This window comes from Homo sapiens, chromosome 8 (genome assembly GCF_000001405.40).
Source record: "Homo sapiens chromosome 8, GRCh38.p14 Primary Assembly".
Lineage (NCBI taxonomy): Eukaryota > Metazoa > Chordata > Mammalia > Primates > Hominidae > Homo > Homo sapiens.
This window is the reverse complement of record NC_000008.11, coordinates 67,866,523-67,887,690: the sequence shown is the minus strand read 5'-3', so window position 1 is coordinate 67,887,690 and position 21,168 is coordinate 67,866,523. Positions and strand designations below refer to the sequence as shown.

At 38.4% G+C, this 21,168-nt stretch overlaps 1 annotated feature.

Annotated features, from left to right (window-relative positions):
- Positions 2,872-3,669: an enhancer, noted in NCBI's record as "NANOG hESC enhancer chr8:68796257-68797054 (GRCh37/hg19 assembly coordinates)". NCBI's record gives its function as "activates a minimal SCP1, AML or CMV promoter by ChIP-STARR-seq in naive H9 embryonic stem cells {active_cell/tissue: H9 hESC(naive)}" and the evidence as "EXISTENCE:reporter gene assay evidence [ECO:0000049][PMID:30033119]".

Below are 21,168 nucleotides of genomic sequence, written 5' to 3'. Positions count from 1 at the left end.
GCTCTCACTTCAAAGGAGTCTAGGCATTAAATCTCCAACAGTCTCATGCCTTTAGCAGAAGGCTTGTGAAGACAGGGGCAACTGATGTGAATCCCAGGGGAGGAAAAGGTAATTTTCTAACACAGAAACACAAATCATCCCAATGGATCCTAGTAAGTTGAGTATGAGGGGAAAGATGCTAAGATAATGTAGAAAATGCTGCAACATATTGAGAAGGAGGATGGAATGTGGAGTTCAGTATTCCCTTTGGATGGAACTCAAGGGAAAACTCATAGGTGTTATCTGTTTCTGTGCTCAGAGCCTGCAGTTATACTTCTAAGTTCAAAGACTCAGTTGACTAATCTTAAATCATTATTGTTTGTCTTTTAAAAAAGTACTTGTACAGAAAATTACATAGTATTATAATATTTGTTGGCAGTCAAGAAAAGGCAAAAGAGCTAAAGCAATCACCACTGGTGGACTCTCACTTGAGCTCCCCATTGAATAATCAGCAATGGAGAAAGCAGTTGACATTCAGCTCAATGAACACACATTGAGTATGTAACATGATCTAGGCACTAATTGGTTTCTTTGAAAGGGAAGGGACCTACATATCCATAAAACACAGACCTTCCCCCAAGTGACAAATCAAGAAGTCTAGAAGCATCTTAGACGTATGTGTGCTTGCCAGGAAAGTTCCACAAGGCTACTGGGGAGTCTTCGACCAAAGTCACCCATCAGAGGAGTCCCACATGTCCCAGGAATTTGGGATTTTTTTGTCATACTCATTCACTGATGGAGAGCAGCACATGGGAAGTGTGGCTGTGGTGCAAATGTGGTGATGGATTTCAGAGCCAGGTAGAAGATCTCTTGGTCAATTATGCTCCCTGCTCTGACAGGCAAGTTCCCACAATGGCCACACCAGTGAGTCGGCTCCCTGGAAATGTCAGTATAACACAGGTATGTTGTTGCATATTTTAGTATTGTAAATTTGTCTGTTTAAATAAGAAAATTAGTTCATATATTTACTCGATAGAGAAATGAGTGTTTTCGACCTCAAAAAGATAAAGTAATTTATTACTCAGAGAATCTTTGCTCCTACTGGGCTCCTTTAACAGCCACTGGATGGTTTTTAGTTCACAGAAAGTTGCCACTCCCTTCTCAGAAAATGGTAAAGGGGGAGAGAAAGATTTGCTGTTGTACTAATATAGAGAAGAAGCAGCTCTGTTCATTTCTTTTAATTTTCTCTGAAGTGAGCTTTTCTTCTTCATGGCAAATGATTGTTCTGCCTGAAGCTATTTGTCACTGGGATGGGAACAGAAGGGTGGAGTAGCCATGTATGCAATATTCTTAGCATATCTTTATTAGAGTCTAATTCTTTACATCTGTCTCCTACAGAGAAACCTCTCCTTAAAATGGTAGCATCCACTTTACGAGTTAAGAAGAGTAAGAAGTGAGCAACACATGGCATTCTATTACGGCATTGCAAGTTGCGGCAATGATTTCTTTGTTGTCTTGATATCAAAATTTAACTCTATCATGGTATAAATTGATCTTGTCATTGTGACCCATGAACATTTACTGAATATTTATGATATGTTTACCAATGAGAATGCAAAGAGGTCTCAGACTCTTTATCTCAAGAGGCTTATCTATTTAGGGGGAAAATGCATGTATATTAAAGAATTCCAGATAGTATAGTCTACCAAGTCTAGAGTTTATTTATTTCACTTATAAGCTATAGAATGAACCTGTAATGCTTTCCCAGAAGTGTAGCAGAAGATACAAGATCCTGGGTCAGAAATGAAGGATTTTGTGATTTACAGCACAGCAAGCAGCAGTGGAGTTTGGGGAGCCCACTGCTTTTCCAACAAGCAGAAAGTTAGCCTGATCTTTGTTGAAGGCGGATACATTACCTCATCTTGCAGGTAACCAGCTGCATAAACAAGTGTGAGAAATGGCCTGAGTATCAGGGCCTTGCAGTCTTGGCTCACCCAGCAAGACATGTAGGAACTCAAGAAGCCCAAGGAAGGCTGCCTCCTCCAACACAGGCAGAAAGTCAAATGGTCAATACCAGTGACAGCACCACTGAAGTTTGGAAATCAGAAATAACAGGACATTCATGACATAGGGGAAATGGATTTTTTTTTCATGAATATAAACCAAAAATAAAATTCTAAGCCCCTCAACCATCTGAATGGACCGCTCCTTTTGGCCAGGGCACTCCAAAGTTAATCTGAAAAACTAATTCAAGCCATGATAGGAAGTAGGGGTCAGACATGCCTCATTAAACTCTCCTCCCTTTTGGAATTCAGGAAAAACTGGACTAGCATTAACAACACAGACCTTAAGTCTGATAAACATTTACAATCTGTTCTCTCTGAAGCCTACTACCTGGAGGCTTCATCTGCATAATAAAACCTTGATCTCCACAACCCCTTATCATAACTCAGACATTCCTTTCTATTGATAATAATTCCTTCAACCAATTACCAATCAGAAAATTTTAAAATCTATCCAGGACCTGGAACACCCACCCCTACCTCCTCATGCTTTGAGTTGTCCTACCTTTCCAGGTCAAACCAATGTACATCTTACATGTATTGATTAATGACTTGTGTCTCCCTAAAATGTATAAAAGCAAGCTGTACCCCTACCGCCTTGGGCACATGTCATCAGGACCTCCTGAGGCTGTGTCACAGGTGCATCTTTAACCTTGGCAAAATAAACTTTCTAAATTGATTGAGTCCTGCCTCAGATACTTTTGGGTTCACATTACAAAAACGAAGAAAAGATTACTGCCTATAGTAAAATATTTATTATTAGCTTACCTCAACAGGCAGCAGTGGTTTGCTTATAAAAACAAAACACTGGGGTAGAAAGAGAGGGAACAGGTCTTTGGGAGTTTTAATACTTATTAACAATGATGAGACTGGATGAACTGCATTGCGAAACATAATGTAAAACTATCATTCATTGTCAGTGATTTAAGGAAGGAATGTTAGATGCAGGAATCTGATTATAATCAAGTGAATTGAAATGTTATCTCCACCCAGAAATTTCTACATGTTTTCTATTGAATGTCCCTCCTAGGCCACAATAGAAACAGTAGGAACAATGCCCAGCATTTTAAGCTTCAATTAGCTGCATAGTGGTTGATGGGAGTATGGGGATTTAAAATCCTTTATGCTTCCATTAGATAAAAATCTGTGACATGTAAGTCATGATTATTCATCAGCATGGGGCCAAGTCCTGCTCCACACCCTTGTCTGCTTGGCCTATTTTCCTCCATGAGCTCCAGAGCCACACAAGAGGTTGTAGCCAATAGTGACCTTTTGTACCAGAAGCTTCACTGATTCTAGAAGGAAACCGAGTTTCCTCCACTTGGTTCCAGAGGACACTGTACATGACCTTGAAGTATTTTGTGATCCTATTGTGTGGCCAACAGCAATGAAGCAGCAACATTTCCCAGAACAAAAGCAGATGACCTCAGGCAGACACAAGACTAACGGGCAGTTGTGAAGCAGGCCCGGGCTCCCTGCTTTAGAGAAGAGAAATGGAGCCATCATTACAGACACTGACTCTCTAAATTTATCAATTCCTGGAAAAAGAGCATTAAAAAGTAGAAGTTATTGGCTAGCCCTGAAGTATTATTTAGCGTGGAAAAGTGGCCCAAGTAAAACATATAAAAGTCAAGGTTTTTTTCAAAAGTAGTGTCGATCAACTTTCTTATTCATAGTTTACATACAGTGTCTTTGATTATGAAAAAGGTTCTGTGCGTGTGTGTATGTGTGTGTGTGTGTGTAATTCTAGAATCCATTTGTAACTTTTTAAATTAAAATCCCATTTTAGGAGGAGAAAAAATAAACTTTCATCTCCATATAAAAGAAAAGAGCTTTGGGAGATCTCTGTTACTTAATTTGAGCAGTTTTTTTCCATTCTCTGAAATTGCCTCTTCCTTCCTCATATTTTCCCAAATTATCTCGGTTCCTAGTTTACAACCTGCCCCAGCTTACCTAAACACCTTCTTCTTCAGGGATTTTCAAGTATCTAATGATAAAATATTGTGACACCTCTCAGCCATATTTGTACTTTAAAAGAGAAATTTTGTTTTCAAAATACAAAGGGGTCTATTACTAACAGTAGATTTTTTAGGAATGAATGGATGGCATTTGCAGCAACCTGGATGAGATTGGAGAATATTATTCTAAGTTAAGTAACTCAAGAATAGAAAACCAAACATTGTATGTTCTCACTCACAAGTGGGAGCTAAGCTATGAGGATGCAAAGGCATAAGAATAATACAACGGACTTTGGGGACTCACGAGAAAAAGGTGGGAAGGGGGTGATGGATAAAAGATTACAATTTGGGTTCAATGTACATGCTCAGGTATTGGGTGCACCAAAATCTCACAAATCACCACTGAAGAACTTACTCATGGAACCAAACACCAGCTTTTCCTCAATAACCTATGGAAATAAAAAATTTAAAATAAAATAAAAGCTGTCCTTCCCAGGTTAAAACACACACAAACACACACACACACACCAAAAAAACCCAAACAAACAAAAACCAGTGGATTTTTTTAAGGGCTGTCTTTTGGGACAAGAAGAATCTTCTCCCATTTCTGGAGCTATAAAACATTTAACAAAATATCTAGTTTGCTTCTGTGTAAGTCTATCTCTGGTTCCCTTCACCAAACAGAGTATTTCTATGTCCAAACTCAGACTGTATCCTTGACTTTAGGCCTATTTGTGGACAAAGCTAAATGCCCAGTGGTCAGTTTCCAGTCTCAGCAATAAACCAGATGTTTTGTCTGATATCAAACCAGAATTTATGTGAGAACACATAGATGTTTGATTGAATTTTTCATTTGTCATCCAAATATTTGGCACTAAATACAAACAGTCTTTAGAAATCACAGAAGGAATTCATTCTCCAGGCATTTCATATAATCTGCCCTACAATGTTGCCTTTCTGTTCTAAAAGAGTTTCAGTGTCCATTGAAAGTGGCAGCAGCATGGAGATCTGTCATAGTAGAGGCATTAGATATTTGGAAGGTTCCTTTGCTCTTTTGGAAAGTCAGCGCCAGTCAGGAGCTGGAGTTGCTCACTGTGCCATTCAGGATAGGCTAGGTTGGCAGTGGTCACCAAAAATGTCCCAAATCTTAGTGGCTGAAGCAGTAAGGGTTTATTCTTCACTTATGTTCATGTCTGATGTGGGTGTGGGGTAGTAGTAGCTAGGGTGGAGGGATGGAGGGTGAGTCTCTGCTCAGTAGTTACTCTGGGACCCAGACTGAAGAAGCTTTGCTCTCAGCATGAAGGGATTTCTGCATTTGCCCAGCAGGGGAAGAGCAGAGCTGGTGGGTGTCCTTCAGGCATTTGGTAAAACCTTGAGTTGGAAAGTTTTCTCACCAGAGCTAGTCACATGGACACATCTAACTTCAAGCAGTCAAGACATCACCGTCCCCCAGAGTGTGCCCCAGCAGGGGAACGGGGACCAAAAAGGAGTGCACAGCAGTAACGTCTATCACACACCCATGCATGTCTGAAGAGGAAAAAGTCACCAAAACAGAATTTCCTCAAAGCTAGGCTTCTTCTTAGGGCAAATCAAACATTCCTTGGTTTCCTCAGCCTAAATACAGGGTCAAAATTTATCAATATTTTATTATATGTAATTATCTATGTTTTTACTTTACATACATTTTATTATTACATTGATAGAATCACTGGAAGTATGCGGTTTTTTTGGAATTTAAAAGTTTATTATCTCCTTCCCTTTGGGAAAAGCAAATACTTAAAGTTAAGGTGTCCCAGAAACTTCTGCAAAACAGACATACAGATAAATAAGTAACATGTATAGTTGATACATATACTCCATGAGAGAAGAAACAATATTTACTTTATTCACCTCACGCTGAGGCTTATAATGCCCACCCGTCAGAGGTCTGCACAATGCCGGTAACCTACATGCAATAAATATTTGTTATATATGAAACAATATATATTAAATCAAATAAAATGGAGATCTGTAATGAACAAGACAATGATTTAGCTCCCAGGACACTAGACAGAGGGTCTACCCAACATATCAACCTTACAATTTGAGGGGTGACAATTTCATGTCTTCCAAAACATTTCCCCACATATAACTAATGATAAAGTATTAATCTTTCACTAGACCTAAAATTTTCAACTGTTAGAATGATTCCCATGAATTTGATAACAAAGGTGGGGAAATCATCTGCATTCTATTTTGGCTTGAAATATTTATTAGTTTAAAAAATAACTAGAAAACACTGGCTGCATATGTGTTCTAACAGTAACAAATACTTCTGTGGTGCTGATTTTGTGCAATGCACTGTTCTGAATACTTCACCTACGTTAAATTCTTTGAGACATCAGAACTCTTTGAGGTAAGTACTATTATTATTATTTTCATTTTAAAGCTAAGGAAGCCGAGACAAGTGAATGCAATTAACTTGTCCAAGGTCACACAGCTAAGATGTGATGCGGTTATTCAGCTCTGATTAGAACCCAGACACTCCAACTTCAAACTAAACTGTTGCCCTTGATTCTGTGTGGTGGCAGTAAAGATGAAAAGGATCCTACCCTTATCTCTGGAATAAACTCACATTAGAGCCATGGTGTGCAGGAACAAAACAAAGCTGCCTGCTTTTGTCACTTCCATTAAGCATAGTGTTGGAAATTCTAGGGAGGGTAGTAAGCACTAGACTCTCCCCCACATTGATCCCACACTATTACCCATCTTGTCCCCTAAATTTTTCCCCAACCTGTCCTCCACATATGACTCACACATATGGTCCCCTACACTGTCTCCCACACTCTCCCCTACAATGTGACTCCACACTGTCCCGTATACTGTCACCTATATTGTGTAACCAATCTTCAGAACTCCTTTTATCTTGCCAGTCTGAAACTCTTTGTCTATTTGGTTCTTTTTATCCTTTCCATTTCTCTACTGACTTTGTTCATTTATTCTGAAGGCATTTTTCTTGACCCTCATGAACATATTTATAACAGCTGCTTTCAAAGCCTTGTAAGCTAATTACAACATCTTGGGACATTTTGAGATTAGTTTCTACTGCCTACTTACTGTCTTGTGTATGGATTACATTTTCCTGTAGCTTCATACATCTCCTGATTTTTTTTAAGTGTGTGCTAGACCCTATGAATGACAGCTACAGAGACTGGATTCTGTTGTATTTTTTTGAATAGGGTTGATCTTTTTCTAACAATGAATTAACTTGGCTGGACTCAAACCCCAATCTCTATCTTTCCTACAGTGAGCACAACTGAAATTTTCATTCGGTTCATTCAGAGTCCAATGATTGTTTTTACGTTTGGCCCCTGGGTTCTGCCTTGCATATATGTAGCTCAAAGATTCACCAATCATTTGCAGGCAACTTAACATACGTATTTTGGGATTCACCCCTTTGTGGTTCCCTCCCCTCCAAAATATCTCCCCTAAACCCCCAGCATGACCCAAAAATCCTCTGACACAACAAGTAAGACTCTGGTTTTCTGCCTGCCTGGACCACATATAGATTGTGAAGTATTTTGAAGCAAAAATTCAAATTTGTAAATATTTTCTGTTATAATTCTCATCACTCAAGTTTAGACTCCTTCACAATTTTATCTGTTTTTTGGAGATCAAAAAGCAATTATATATTATATATAAAAATTATATTTAACATATAATAACAGAATCATAATATATAATTATATATAACTATATATGTAATATATAATTATATAAAATTATATATGTAATATATCATTTCATATATATGTAAGATAGAATTTCATATATATAATATATACAGATACAGCTCTCTGCATAGATACATAGATATGACTATAGATACAGACATATTATTTGTCCACATTTTATCACCATTATCTGTAGGAGTGTTAGTTCATCAAGCTACGCCACCATTGTTGTGTCCAACAGGACACCAGAACCTGTTTCATCTGATTTCTGGATTTTACATAATTGGAATTATATAGTAAGTATACTTTTGCACCTGGCTTTATTTACACACTATGTTTGTGATAGTCATCAATGACACTAATGTAGATATTGTTTGATCATTTTAATTGCTGCACAGTATTCTATTATATAAACATACTACACCTTATTTATTCATTCTACTCTTGATAATCATCATTTGGATGCTTTAAATTAATAGGCTACTTTTAGAGCAGTTTTAGATGTATAGAAAAAATGAGTGGAAAGTACAAATGGTTCCCATATGCTTCTTCTCCTCATTCCTCCTATGGGTTCACTGTCATTAACATCTTGCAAAGTACGGTAGATTTGTTACAGCTCATTAACAAATGTCAATGCATTATTATTAACCAAAACCCATACTTTACATTAGAGTTCACTCCTTGCGTTGTACATTCTACGAACTTTGAAAAATGTGCAATGACGTGTATCCACCATTGCAGTATCATACAAAATAGTTCCACTGCCTTAAATGTCCTCTGTGCTCCACTATTCGTCTTTCTTTTCCCCACTCTGAACTTCTGGCAACCACTGATATTTTTACCATCTCCATAGTTTTGTCTTTTACAAAATATCAAATAGTTAAAATTATATACTATGTAGCTTGTCCAGGTTTGGGTAAATACTGAGGAGTACAGCTGCTGGATCATAGGATGAGAATATAGTTGCTTTTGTAAGAAACTGCCAAACTGTCCTCCAAGTGGGTATACTATTTTTGTATTCCCATCAGCAATACATGAGAGTTCCTGTTGTTCCACATACTTGCCAATATTTATTGTTGTCAGTGCTTTGGATTTTACCCATTTTTATAAGCATGTGGTGATATCTCATTGTTGTTTTAATTTGCAATTCCCTAGTGATATACGACCTTGAGCATTTTCATATATTAATTTGTCATCCACATGTCTTTGGTGAGGTATTAGTTCTGAACTTTTTTTCATTTTATAATTGGGTTTTCAACTTTCTTCTTCTTTTTTTTTTTTTGGAGATGGAATCTCACTCTACTACCCAGGCTGGAGTGTAGTGGCATGATCTCGGCTCACTGCAACCTCTGCCTCCCAGGTTCAAGCGATTCTCCTGCCTCAGCCTCCCAAGTAGCTGAGATTACAGGCATGTGCCACCACACCTGGCTAATTTTTGTATTTTTAGTAGAGACGGGGTTTCACCATGTTGACCAGGCTGGTCTCAAACTCCTGACTTCAGGTGATCTGCCCACCTCAGTCTCCCAAAGTGTTGGGATTACAGGTGTGAGGCACCGGCCCCTGCCCAATTTTCTTATTGTTTCATTTTAACAGTTCTTTGTACATTTTGGATCCTGGTCTGTCTTGTCAGTTTGGACTGCTATAATAAGCATACTACGTCAACAAGCATTTATTTCTAACAGTTCTGGATACTGGGAAGTCCAAGATCAAGGAGTCAGCAGAGCTAGTGCCTAGTGAGAGCCTGCTTCCTGGTTTGCAGTTAACTGTCTTCTTTTGGCAGATAGCAGAGAGAGAGAAAAAAAATGCATACTCTTGTGTCTCTTCTTGTAATGGCACTAATCTCTATCCATGACGGCTCCATCCTCATGACCTAAGAACCCCCGCCAAAGGCTCCTCACCTCCTAAAACCATCACAGTGGGGTTCAGACTTCAACATACGAACTTTTGAAGGACACAAACATTCAGTCTGTAACATTCCACCTCTAGCCCCCCAAAATTCATGACTTTCTCACTTTTAAAATATTCTTTTTTTAATACATTCTTTCCATCCCAACAACCCCAGAAGTCTTAATTCATTTCAACATCAACTCTAAATTGCAAAGTCGATTGTAAATATCATCTAAATCAGAGATTTGTGATACTCGAGCTACATTCATCCTGTTGCAAAATTCCTCTCCAGCTGTGGACCTGTGAAACCAACCATGTGCCTCCCAAATACAGTGATGAGACAGGCATAGAACAAACATTCCATTCTCATTCTCATTTCAAAAGGGAAAAATATGAAAGAAGGAAGTAGTGACAGGTCCCAAACAAATCCAAAACCTACCAAGGCAAATCCCATAAGATCTTAGAACTCAAGAACAATTCTCTTTGGCTCAATACTCTATCCTCCAAGCCTACTAGGACAATGATCCTGCCCCCAGAGACCCACTGGGACCGCAGTCACACCCCATGGCTCTGTCAGGTGCCCTCATGACTCTCTTAGGTCGTGGTCCCACTCTTGGAAACCAAGGTGGATACAGCCTTTTTCCATAGATCCATGCATTCTGGACTTGTGGTGGGAGTGGCAGCCCTATTGACCCCTGAATCACCTTGGGGGTTCTTTTTTTAAAAAAACTATAGATTCAAGGAGTACATATGCAAGTTTGTTACATAGGTATATTGCAGAATGCTGGGATTTGGACTTCTAATGAACGCATTACCCAAATAGTGAAAATAATACCCAATAGGTAGTTTTTCAACACTTGCCATTCTCCCATCCTTCCCCCTTTTTGGAGGCTCCAGTGTCCATTATTTCTGTCTTTATTACCATATGTAATCATTGTTTAGCTCCCACTTATAAGTAAGAACATGCAGTATTTGATTTTCAGTTTCTGAGTCATTTCATTTAGAATAATGGCCTCCAGCTTCATTTGTGTTGCTGTGAATGATATTATCTCTTCCTTTCTTTATATAACTTTTTTCAACTTTTATTTTAGAATTTTATTACCTATGTAATAAACATAGGTATGTTGAGGTTTGGAGTATGAATGTATCCATCACCTATGTTGTGAGCATAGTACCTGATAGTTTCTTTCAACCTATGTCCTCCTCCATCCTTCCTCCTTCTTGTATTCCCCAGTGTCTGTTGTTCCTGTTTTTATGACCATGTATACCTAATGTTTAGCTCCCACTTATAAGTGAGAACATGCAGTGTTCGGTTTTCTGTTTCTGTGTTAGTTTGCTTAGCATAATGGCTTCCAGCTGCATTCATGTTGCTGCAGAGGACATGATTTCATACTTTTTTGTTGCTGCATAGTATTCCATGGTGTAATGAAAAGAAAATAAAGTCTCAGGACCCCAATTTACTATGCCTACAGAAAAAAATTAAGCTGAAAGCTGAATCATGCAAGAGACTGCCTTTCCTTTTGTTCCTAAGCAGATAATTGCAGATAAAAGGCCAGATGCATTTTATTAAAGGCCAGATACCTGCTTATACCTAGGCAGATACCTACAGGTAAAAGGCCAGATACAGATATGTTCACTTTACCTTATGTAAAGTGCCAATCTACTGAGCAGGAGATGAATACATAATTGACTACCCCCCTACCTTCTTTTCTCTCACAACATGTAGATTCAGTAATGTGAATCTACCCTCCTCTTTCCTCTCTACCCTGATTTTCCTCTTGAAATACTAAAGCTCTCAAATCATCTTTGGAAAAAGGCATGGACCACAGACTTGTCTTTTCGTTTTGTGCTCCTTTTTTGGGGGGGTGGGGTATGTCCTTAACTTTGGCTAAATAAACCTCTAACTTGATCGAGACCTGTCTCAGATACTTTTTAGTTTACAGTGTATACCTAACTCATTTTCTTTATCCAGTCCACCATGGATGGGCACCTGGATTGATTCCATGACTTCGCTATTGTGAATAGTGCTGCAATAAACACATGAGTGCCAATGTCTTTTGATAAAATTATTTCTTTTCCTTTGGGTAGATACCCAGTAGTGGGATTGCTGGATTGAATGGCAGTTCTATTTTTAGTTCTTTGAAAAATCCCCAAACAGTTTTCCACAGTGGTTGAACTAATTTACATTCCCACCAACAGTATATAAGTGTTCCTTTTTCTGTGCAGCCTTGCTACCATCTGTTGTTTTTGACTTTTTAATAAAAGCCATTCTGACTAGTGTGAGATGGTATCTCAACGTGGTTTTAATTTGCATTTCTCTGATGATTAGTGATTTTGAGCATTTTTTTAATATTTGTTGGCTGCTTGTATGTCTTGTTTTAATAAGTGTCTGTTCATGTCCTTTGCCCATTTTTTAATGGGGTTATTTGGTTTTATTTCCTGTTGATTTATTTAAGTTTCTTATAGATTCTGGGTATTAGTCATTTGTCAGATGCATAGTTTGCATATATTCTCTCCTATTCTGTAGGTTGTCTGTTTACCCTTCTTGGTTGTTCTTTTTGCTATGCAGAAACACTTTAGTTTAATTAAGTCTCATTTGTCTATTTTTTGTTTTGTTACTATTGCTTTTGAGGTGTTAATCACAAATTTTTTATCTAGGCCAATGTCTGGAGATTTCTCCCAGGTTTTCTTCTAGGATTTTTATAATTTCTGGTCTTACAGTTAAGCCTTCAATCCATATTGAGTTAATTTTTTATATGGTGAAAGTAAGGGGTACAGTTTCATTCTTCTGTGTATAGCTAGCCAGTTTTCCCAGCACCATTCATTGAATATGGTGTCCTTTCCCCCACTGTTTATTTCTTTTCATTTTGTTGAAGATCAGTTGGTTGTAGGGCTGTGGTTTTATTTCTGAGTTCTCTACTCTGTTCCATTGATCTATGTGTCTGTTTTTGTACCATGCTATTTGGGTTACTATAGCCTTGAAGTGTAGTTTGAAGTTGGGTAATGTGATGCCTTTGGCTTCGTTTTTTGTGCTTAGGATTGCTCTGTCCGTTCTGACTCTTAGTTTGTAGTTGGGTAATGTGACACCTCTGGCTTTGTTGTTTGTGCTTAGGATTGCTCTGTCTGTCCTGGCTCTCTTTTTGTTCCATGTAAATTTTAGAATGGTTTTTCTAATTCTGTGGAAAATGATGTTGGTAATTTGATAGAATTTTCTTTGAAGTTGTAGATTGCTTTGGGAAGTATAGTCATTTTAATTATATTAATTCTTCCTATCCATGAGCATGGTATGTTTTTCCATTCATTTGTGTCGTCTACATCAATATTTTGTAGTTCTCCTTGTAGAGCTATTTCACCTTCTTAGTTAAATGTATTTAACTAGGGTTTTTTATTTGTGTGTGTGACGATTGTAAATGGGGTTGAGTTCTTGATTTCATTGTTAGCTTGAGGGTTGTTGGTATATAAAAATGCAACTGATTTTTGTGCATTAATTTTGAATCCTGAAACTTTACTCAAGTTGTCAGGGTTCTTCTTATCTGTCCTTTAAGGGTAGTTCACATTCACATCCTTCCTTCATTCCATCCCATTTTTCTCTTTCCTTTAGTCCCAGCTGACAGTCTTTGTGCTGGCATACTTCCATCTCTATTTCTGACTTCTGTTGAAATGGCTGATTAAGTTCATGGTTCACGGATATGCTAATTGTATCAAATGATTGATCATCTTGGTGTTCCCTTCCAAACACACTTTCTTTTATTTTTTTATTTTTATTTTTTCGAGATGGAGTTTCACTCTTGTTGCCCAGGCTGGAGTGCAATGGCACAATCTCAGCTCACTACAACCTCCACCTCCTGGGTTCAAGCAATTCTCTAGCCTCTGCCTCCCAAGTAGCTGGGATTACAGGCATCTGCCACCACACCCAGCTAATTTTTGTATTTTTAGTAGAGACAGGGTTTCACCATGTTGGCCAAGCTGGCCTTGAACTCCTGACTTCAGGTGATCTGCCTCCCTTGGCCTCCCAAAATGCTGGGAATACAGGCATGAGCCACAGCACCTGGCCCCAAACACATTTTCTAATTTTTTTTTTTTTTTTTTGCAATATGAACATGGTGAAAATGTGTGTAATTTTTAAGTTCTGCTTCCTTTGCTTTAGCAATTTTGTCTTCAATTCATTTATCTTTTCTCACATTTTACTATAAGTAGTCAGGAGAAACCAAGCCACTCTTGCAACACCTTCTTATAAATTTCCTTAGCTAAATATCTGATTTCATCACTAAAAAATTCTACTTTCCTCAAAACACTAGAACATGAAGACAATTTAACGAAATGTTTGTCACTTTATAACAAGAGTCATCTTTTCTCCATTATCCAATAATATGTTCTTCATTGATTAATGAGTTCCATGTGAGACCTCATTAGAATCACCCTTAACATGCATATTTCTGCCAACATTCTGTACATGACTATTTACGTATTCTCTAAGTACCTATTTTCCCACCATTAAGTGTGATGTTAGCTGAAGACTTTTTGTAGATGTTCTTTATTAAATTGAGGAAATTTTCCTTTTATTTCTAGTTTGATGAAAGCTTTTTTTTTTATCATAAATCAGAGTTGGATTTCGTCAAATGCTTTTTTTGCATCTATTGATGTGATTGTGTGATTTTCTTCAGCCTGTTGATGTTATGGATTACATTAATTGATTTTTGAATAATGATCCAGCCTTGTAGGCCTGAGATAAATCCCAACTGGTCATAGGGTATAAGTCTTTTTATACATTGTTGGATTTACTTTGCTGTAATAATATTTTGTTGACGATTTTTGTATCTATGTTCATGAAAGGCATTGGTCTGTAATTTTTTATGGTATCATCTCTGCCTAATTTTGGTACTGGTGTAATGCTCCCCTCATTGAATGAGTTAGAAAGTGTTTACTCTTAGCTTTTGTTTTCTGGCAGAGATTGTTGAGAATTCAGATAATTTCTTCCTGAAATGTCCAGTAAAATTCACCAATGAACCCAAGTGGGGCTTGTGTTTTTTATTTGGGAAGGGTATTAATTTGATTTCTTTCATAGATACGGGTCTATTCAGGTTATCTATTTCTTCTTATGTGAGTTTTGGTAGGTTATGTTGTTCTAATAATTGATCGATTTCAGATAGGTATCCATTTTTTTTATCCTTTTAACATCCATAGGATTAGCAGTAATAGTTTCTCTTTCATTTCTGACCTCGGTATTTGTGTCTTTTCTCTTTTTTTAATTATCCTGATTAGAAGTTTATCAATTTTATTAATATTTTCAAAGAGTCAACTTTTCTTTCCTTGATTTTTAATTTCCTATTTTCAATTTTACTGATGACTGCTCTAATTTTTATTATTTCTTTTCTTCTGTTTATTTTGATTTTAACTTGCTCTTCTTTCTCTAGTTTCTTGAGGTAGAAGGCTAGATTATTGATTTTAGATTTTTTCTTTTCTAATATATGCTTTCAGTGCTATGTACTTTCATTTTCATCTAGTTAAAGATAATTTTTAATTCCTCTTGATACTTCTTTGATCCATGTGTTATTTATGACTGTGATGTTTAATATCAAGTATCTGAAGATTTTCCAGCTCTCTTTCTGTTTTTTTTTTATCTACTTCAATTTCATTGAGATCTGAGAGCATATTTTGTATGCTTACTATTTGTTTAAATTTGTTGGCCAGACGCAGTGCCTCTTGCCTATAATCCCAGCACTTTGGGAAGCCAAGGCAGGCGAATTACTTGAGATCAGGAGTTCATGACCAGCCCAGCCAACAAGGTAAAACTCAAAAATACAGAAATTAGCAGGAGAATTGCTTGAACCTGGGAGACAGTAGGAGAAACAGCCTCTTATTTGGACACATAAAAATGAGCCAAATGGTGGTGCCAGTACAGATACAGCATGAGCTACATCTCCTTCCCTCATGGGACCTAAAACCTAATTCAGGATTAACTGAAAAAGAATTCAGTGGGACAAGAGAGTGCCTAATCAAGTAGGCCCAAAAGATGTACAAAGAAGGGGAAATCACAGAAGTAAAAAATTGAGAACCTAGTGGGTGAGTAAGATTTAGTAGAGCAGAGGATATAATGGCACCCCAACCATGGCAGGGCAACGGGCAGAGTCAATCAGAGACACTAGTGAGTTCATTCTAGACTTCACTCATATTCATAATTTTGAACTATCACTCTGATGTTGGCAGAAATTGAGCTAAGATAGGGCACATTACTTATTTTAAAAATCAATATGCTATAGTAACTCTATAAAAGTGTTTGATAGCACAACAGGGTGACTATAGTAACTTAATTATACACTTTTAAATAATTTAAAGAGTATAATTGGATTGTTTGTAACTTAAAGGATAAATGCTTGAGGGGATAGATACCCCATTCTCCATGATGTGCTTATTTTATATCTCATGCCTGTATCAAAACATCTCATCTACCCCGTAAATACATACACCTACTATGTACCCACAATTTTTTTAATTTTAAAAATAAAAAATTAATATTGCCCTAGGTAATGTACCCTAAAGTGTAAAAAATTACCTTCTATCAACTTATTTATGGGTTGTTAACAGCCATACATTTTATATACAGACAACGTTCATCAGAGTATTGGATTTGGAAATTCAGATTAGGCCAAATAAAGAGATCAGGCTGTCATGTAATGGAAACACAGCACTCTATTACCACAGAACTTTCCCACAACATAGAACGGGACCATTTTGGAAAGGTATGTTCTGACCTTGGAGTCTGGAGAGCAGCACTAGAGACTTTCCCTCACTTTGACTTCTTAGCTAGGGCTCTCTCTCTCTGCCTAAGGCCAAGAGTGGTGAATTTTACCATGGCTGCCCTTCACAGTAAAATTTGGCTGGTAAAGATTTATTAGGTCATGCCCTTGGAGGATTAGTGGGAGAAAAAAAAGAATTCTTTACCACAGAACTGAACTCATTTGCAATAAGTAAACTTCCCCATTATTGACAGGTTCACAGCAGACGGTTCTAGACCCTAAGACTACAATAGCAAAAGACACCAGGGCAATGATTCAGAAGTTGTTCTTACTACAAAAGGATTCCGTAATATTGTGAAAGCCAGCCAGGTGGAGTGGCTCACACCAGTGCTTTGGGAGGCTGAGGCAGGAGGATTGCTTGAGACCAGGTGTTTGAGATGAGCCTGGACAACATAGCAAGACCGCATCTCTAAAAAAAAAAATTTTTTTTTAATTAGCCAGGCTTGGTGGTGCATGCCTATAGTCCTAGCTACCCAGGAGGCTGAGGCAGATGGATCACTTGAGCCCAGGAGATCAGGCAGCAATGAACTACGATCGGGTCACTGCACTCCAGCCTAGGTGACAAAGTGACACCCTGTCTTTTAAAAGAAAAAGGTAGACTTAGTATATGCCATAGGTATGACTAAGAAATGGAGGCAGAGAATGCAAACTGTCATATGGGAACTCTTGGGAACAGAGCTCAGTTAAAACTTGGGTCTCCTGATTTCAAGCTGTTAATCTTTCTTGGCATGGTATTGCCAATGAAGAGGCTGATTCAAGGCCCCTGATTATTTTTGAAAAAGAGAGGGATGCTTCTTCCTTTATATCACCCATTTTTCCTGTCCAGCTTCATTCTGCAGCACTTTCACATCACCACATATACCTCTCCCCAACTGAACTACTTTTTTAGTTTGTCAAATAATCCATGCTTTATCTCACTGGAAACATCCCACATGTTACTTCAGCGTGACTTCCTTGCTCCTGACCTCTGTCCTTCACCACCACTCCCCACACACCAGAAGTACACACTTCAAATATATCATTCATGCTCCAAACTCATGGGGCAGCAGAACTGCTCTGCAAGACCACACTATTATTTCCTAAACAGTCCTCAAATAGCTGTGCCCACACTGGACTGGATGGCTGAGAGGGAGGGAGACTGAGCAGTTTCTGCTGTTATGGACTGAAAGTCTGTGTCTCCCCAAAATTCATACGTTGAAACCCCAACCCCCAGGGTTGATGTATTTAAAGATGGAGCTTCAAAGGGAGTAATTAAAGTTAAATGAGGTCATAAGGTTAGTGCTCAATCCCACAGGATTGGTATCTTTATTAGAAGAGATATCAGGGACCTCTTGCTTGCGCCCCGTCCCCCTCCCATTCACTGAGCAAAGGCCACATGAAGACATAGTGAGAAGGCAGCCATCAGCTCACCAGGAACCTACTCTGCGGTACATTGATCTGGAACTTTCAGCCTCCAGAACTGTGAGAAATACATTTCTATTCTTTAAGCCACCCAGCCTCTGGTATTTTGTTATGGCAGCCCAAGGAGACTAATATACCTGCTAAAATTAAAATATTTTTCTCTTCCCAATTTATTCTCCCACAGTTTCCAGGGAAAGAGGAACTTATGAACGCTAACCTGTACTGGACTCTAGTATAAATGGGTATGTAATTTAACTGCAACAAAAACAAAAGCTAATCATTTAGTTATTTTAAGACCTATTAAGATCAGTATTTTCAGGTGACCCAAAAAGACTAGCATGAATTTTAATAATTATTTTATTGCCTGAGAACATATTCCTTCTACTCACTGATCTCTGAAGAGGGTAAATTTCCCACTGGGGGGAAATTCAAAGCTCTAGCATCAGTTATGCATGTTGTACCCTGAAAACCCTAAGAGCCGCTCTTAACGTGATCTGCAACGTGACCTTCTCTGTGTGTTTCTTCTTTTCATTAACCAACTTCACTACATTGATTTCTCATTAGATAATAAAATAAATGTGAAATAATAACTATGGCACCATTAACACAGTGGCTATTAAATGAAAGACAGTCAATAGTTTCTTTTCCTTGTTTTGAACTCAACTGACTATTAAACAGGCACAGTTTGGGAGAGTTTGTTAATTGAGATTATCACTCCAACATGAGGAATCAGAGCTATGGAGCAGCTAATGCCACCTGCATTTGGCCTGAACTCATTCGCCATTATCATGATTATGTTTTTGTAAATCTGTTTAGTATTTCATGTGTGTAATGTCCTTAATACCGGGTTTCACTACAACCGTGGTTAGCCACATTAATTAGCTTAATTCAGAGAAGAGCACTTGGAGTGAGTTGTTTGAGGTTTATATGTAAATTAGTGCAAAGTGTATGTAAGTAGGTTTCTAATTCCAAATGCTGCCTCTTGAAAAAAGTCCACAACACAACTATGTGATGCCCACATTCACTGCTCTGACCATTTAATGACATTTGCACGTGGAGACACCATTAATCATTACAGATCAAAGCACTGCTGCTATGAGGGCACACGCGTGGGGTCTCCCATGTGGCCAATATGCTCAGTTACATGTTTCTAAAGGGAATGGAAGCTCTGGCAACAATGGCAGGGTAGGGAGAAAAAACAGGAGTCTGGCTGTTTCCTCAGCAGCCCAACACCCATCCAACCTCTAGCCCCTGGTGCCAGTCAGAGAGGGAGAAACCCAACCTGTCCTAGATAAGGACCTACAGCCATGTTGAGCCCTGGGAAAAGCTGCCATTTGGGTGAGGCTTCATCTGGAGACCATTATCACAACTGCCGTGTGCAAGATGCTAACGATTTAAATTGGGTTGCAGGAAATGAAAAGTGGCTCTTTCAAAAAATTGGAGGAGGGAGGTGCACCAGCTTCAGAATATGTATGATCATTCTGTCAGGAATAAATAAAATGTCTTTTCAGTTACTGGCACAGTAAGTTGGGCTTACTTTGGGACTAAGCCCTGAATCTAGTGAGCTACACATCAGAAGAAATGGGAGGCAGAGTAAGCTCTCCACTGAGAGTCACATGAAAATAATACTGTACTTGATAATCTCAGATCATTCCCCTTTGTTTGTTCATTTATATTAAGATGAGTTAGGAGGTCGGAAATTATGTCAAAAAATATCAATGTATAACTTGTCCTAATACATTGCCAAGTAGCCTTTAAAAATCTTATCCTTGGCCGGGCGTGATGGCTCACACCTGTAATCCCAGCACTTTGGGAGGCCGAGGCGGGTGGATCATGAGGTCAGGAGATCGAGACCATCCTGGCTAACATGGTGAAACCCCGTCTTTACTAAAAAATACAAAAAATTAGCTGGGCGTGGTGGCGGGCGCCTGTAGTCCCAGCTACTCGGGAGGCTGAGGCAGGAGAATGGCGTGAACCCGGGAGGCGGAGCCTGCAGTGAGCCGAGATCGCGCCACTGCACTCCAGCCTGGGCGACAGAGCGAGAGTCCTTCTAAAAAAAAAAAAAAAAAATCGTATCCTTATGAATACTCCTATTGGTATATGAGAAGTATTAAGAAGACACTTCTCTCATTTCCTCACTGACACTGGGTATTGTGAGTTTTTAAAAAATCTTTGTTAATTTCATGCTTAAACATGTATGCTTTTATGGCCATTTCTTTCTTTGTTGTGTTAAAACAGAAACGAAAGCATGTGAAAATGTTAAAGTTTATTAGAGCAAACAACAATTCATGAATCAGGCAACACAACACTGCAAGTGGTTCAGGGTTCCAATGAAAGGGTGGGGGCCGGAGAGGCTTTTTTGGGGTGAATGCAGAAGCAAGGTAAAGAAAATATTTGATTGATTGAAGAGGAGCAGTGGCCTTATTTAGTAAAGTCCCTAGTTAGGGGTTAGTTGGTAATTTCTGATTGGCCTAGGATATGACCATTTACTGAGTTGGGTTCAGTTTGCTTACATAGGAACCCGGGGTGCTGGAGGTCCCCTCAGCCTGATGGCATCCCAATTAATTTTTTTAAATATTAGTGATATTTAGAATCTTTAATAATAAAAGATTAATAAAATCTTTAATCTAATAAAAATATATTAGACATTTGTACTTCTTTTTGTAAACTGCCTATTCTTGACGTTTTACTACTAGGATGTTGCTTGTTTTCTTACTAACTTGTCCATCACATGTATTGCAAATATTGGTTGATTTGTGTTTTATCCTTGCTTACAGTGTTTAATAATTAAAGAAAAGTAACCATTTAAAAAATTGTATCTCAAAGCACAAATCATGGCACCTTTCTAAACAAGTGGACAATTTTTTCGTGGCTATCTTGAAAATGGACGCAAAATAGTTCTCCCTGATACTTACTTTTCAGGAAGCTCTTGCCTGAGTTGTAGCAGTGCTGCACCCTATAATAAGCTATAAGAGGAGCTCCTGCCCTTCAGCAACTGTGGTATCCTTTGTAGTCTTAAAGCTTGGAGCCTGGCACAGCCAAAACCAGCCCTGCACACAGTAGGCAGGCCAAGCAGTTGGAACTATTCTAGTCCCTGCCAGCAGCTGGATGGCAGAGAAGGTGCAGTACTCAGCAAACCCGCTAGGTGTACTTAGCATCAGGGAGCAAAAAATTAAAAACATATTACTCTGGAAATTTCCTTAGCTTTGATATTCAACCTGGAAACAGATTTGCTTCAAGTGCTCCGGCATCTAGCATAACAGCAATTTCTCTTCCGCTCGACTGAGGAAAGGAAAACATTTAAAAAGCATCCACCAGGCCTGCCATCTTACAAGGAGATGAGATATCCAAAAGGAACTGCTATGCTACG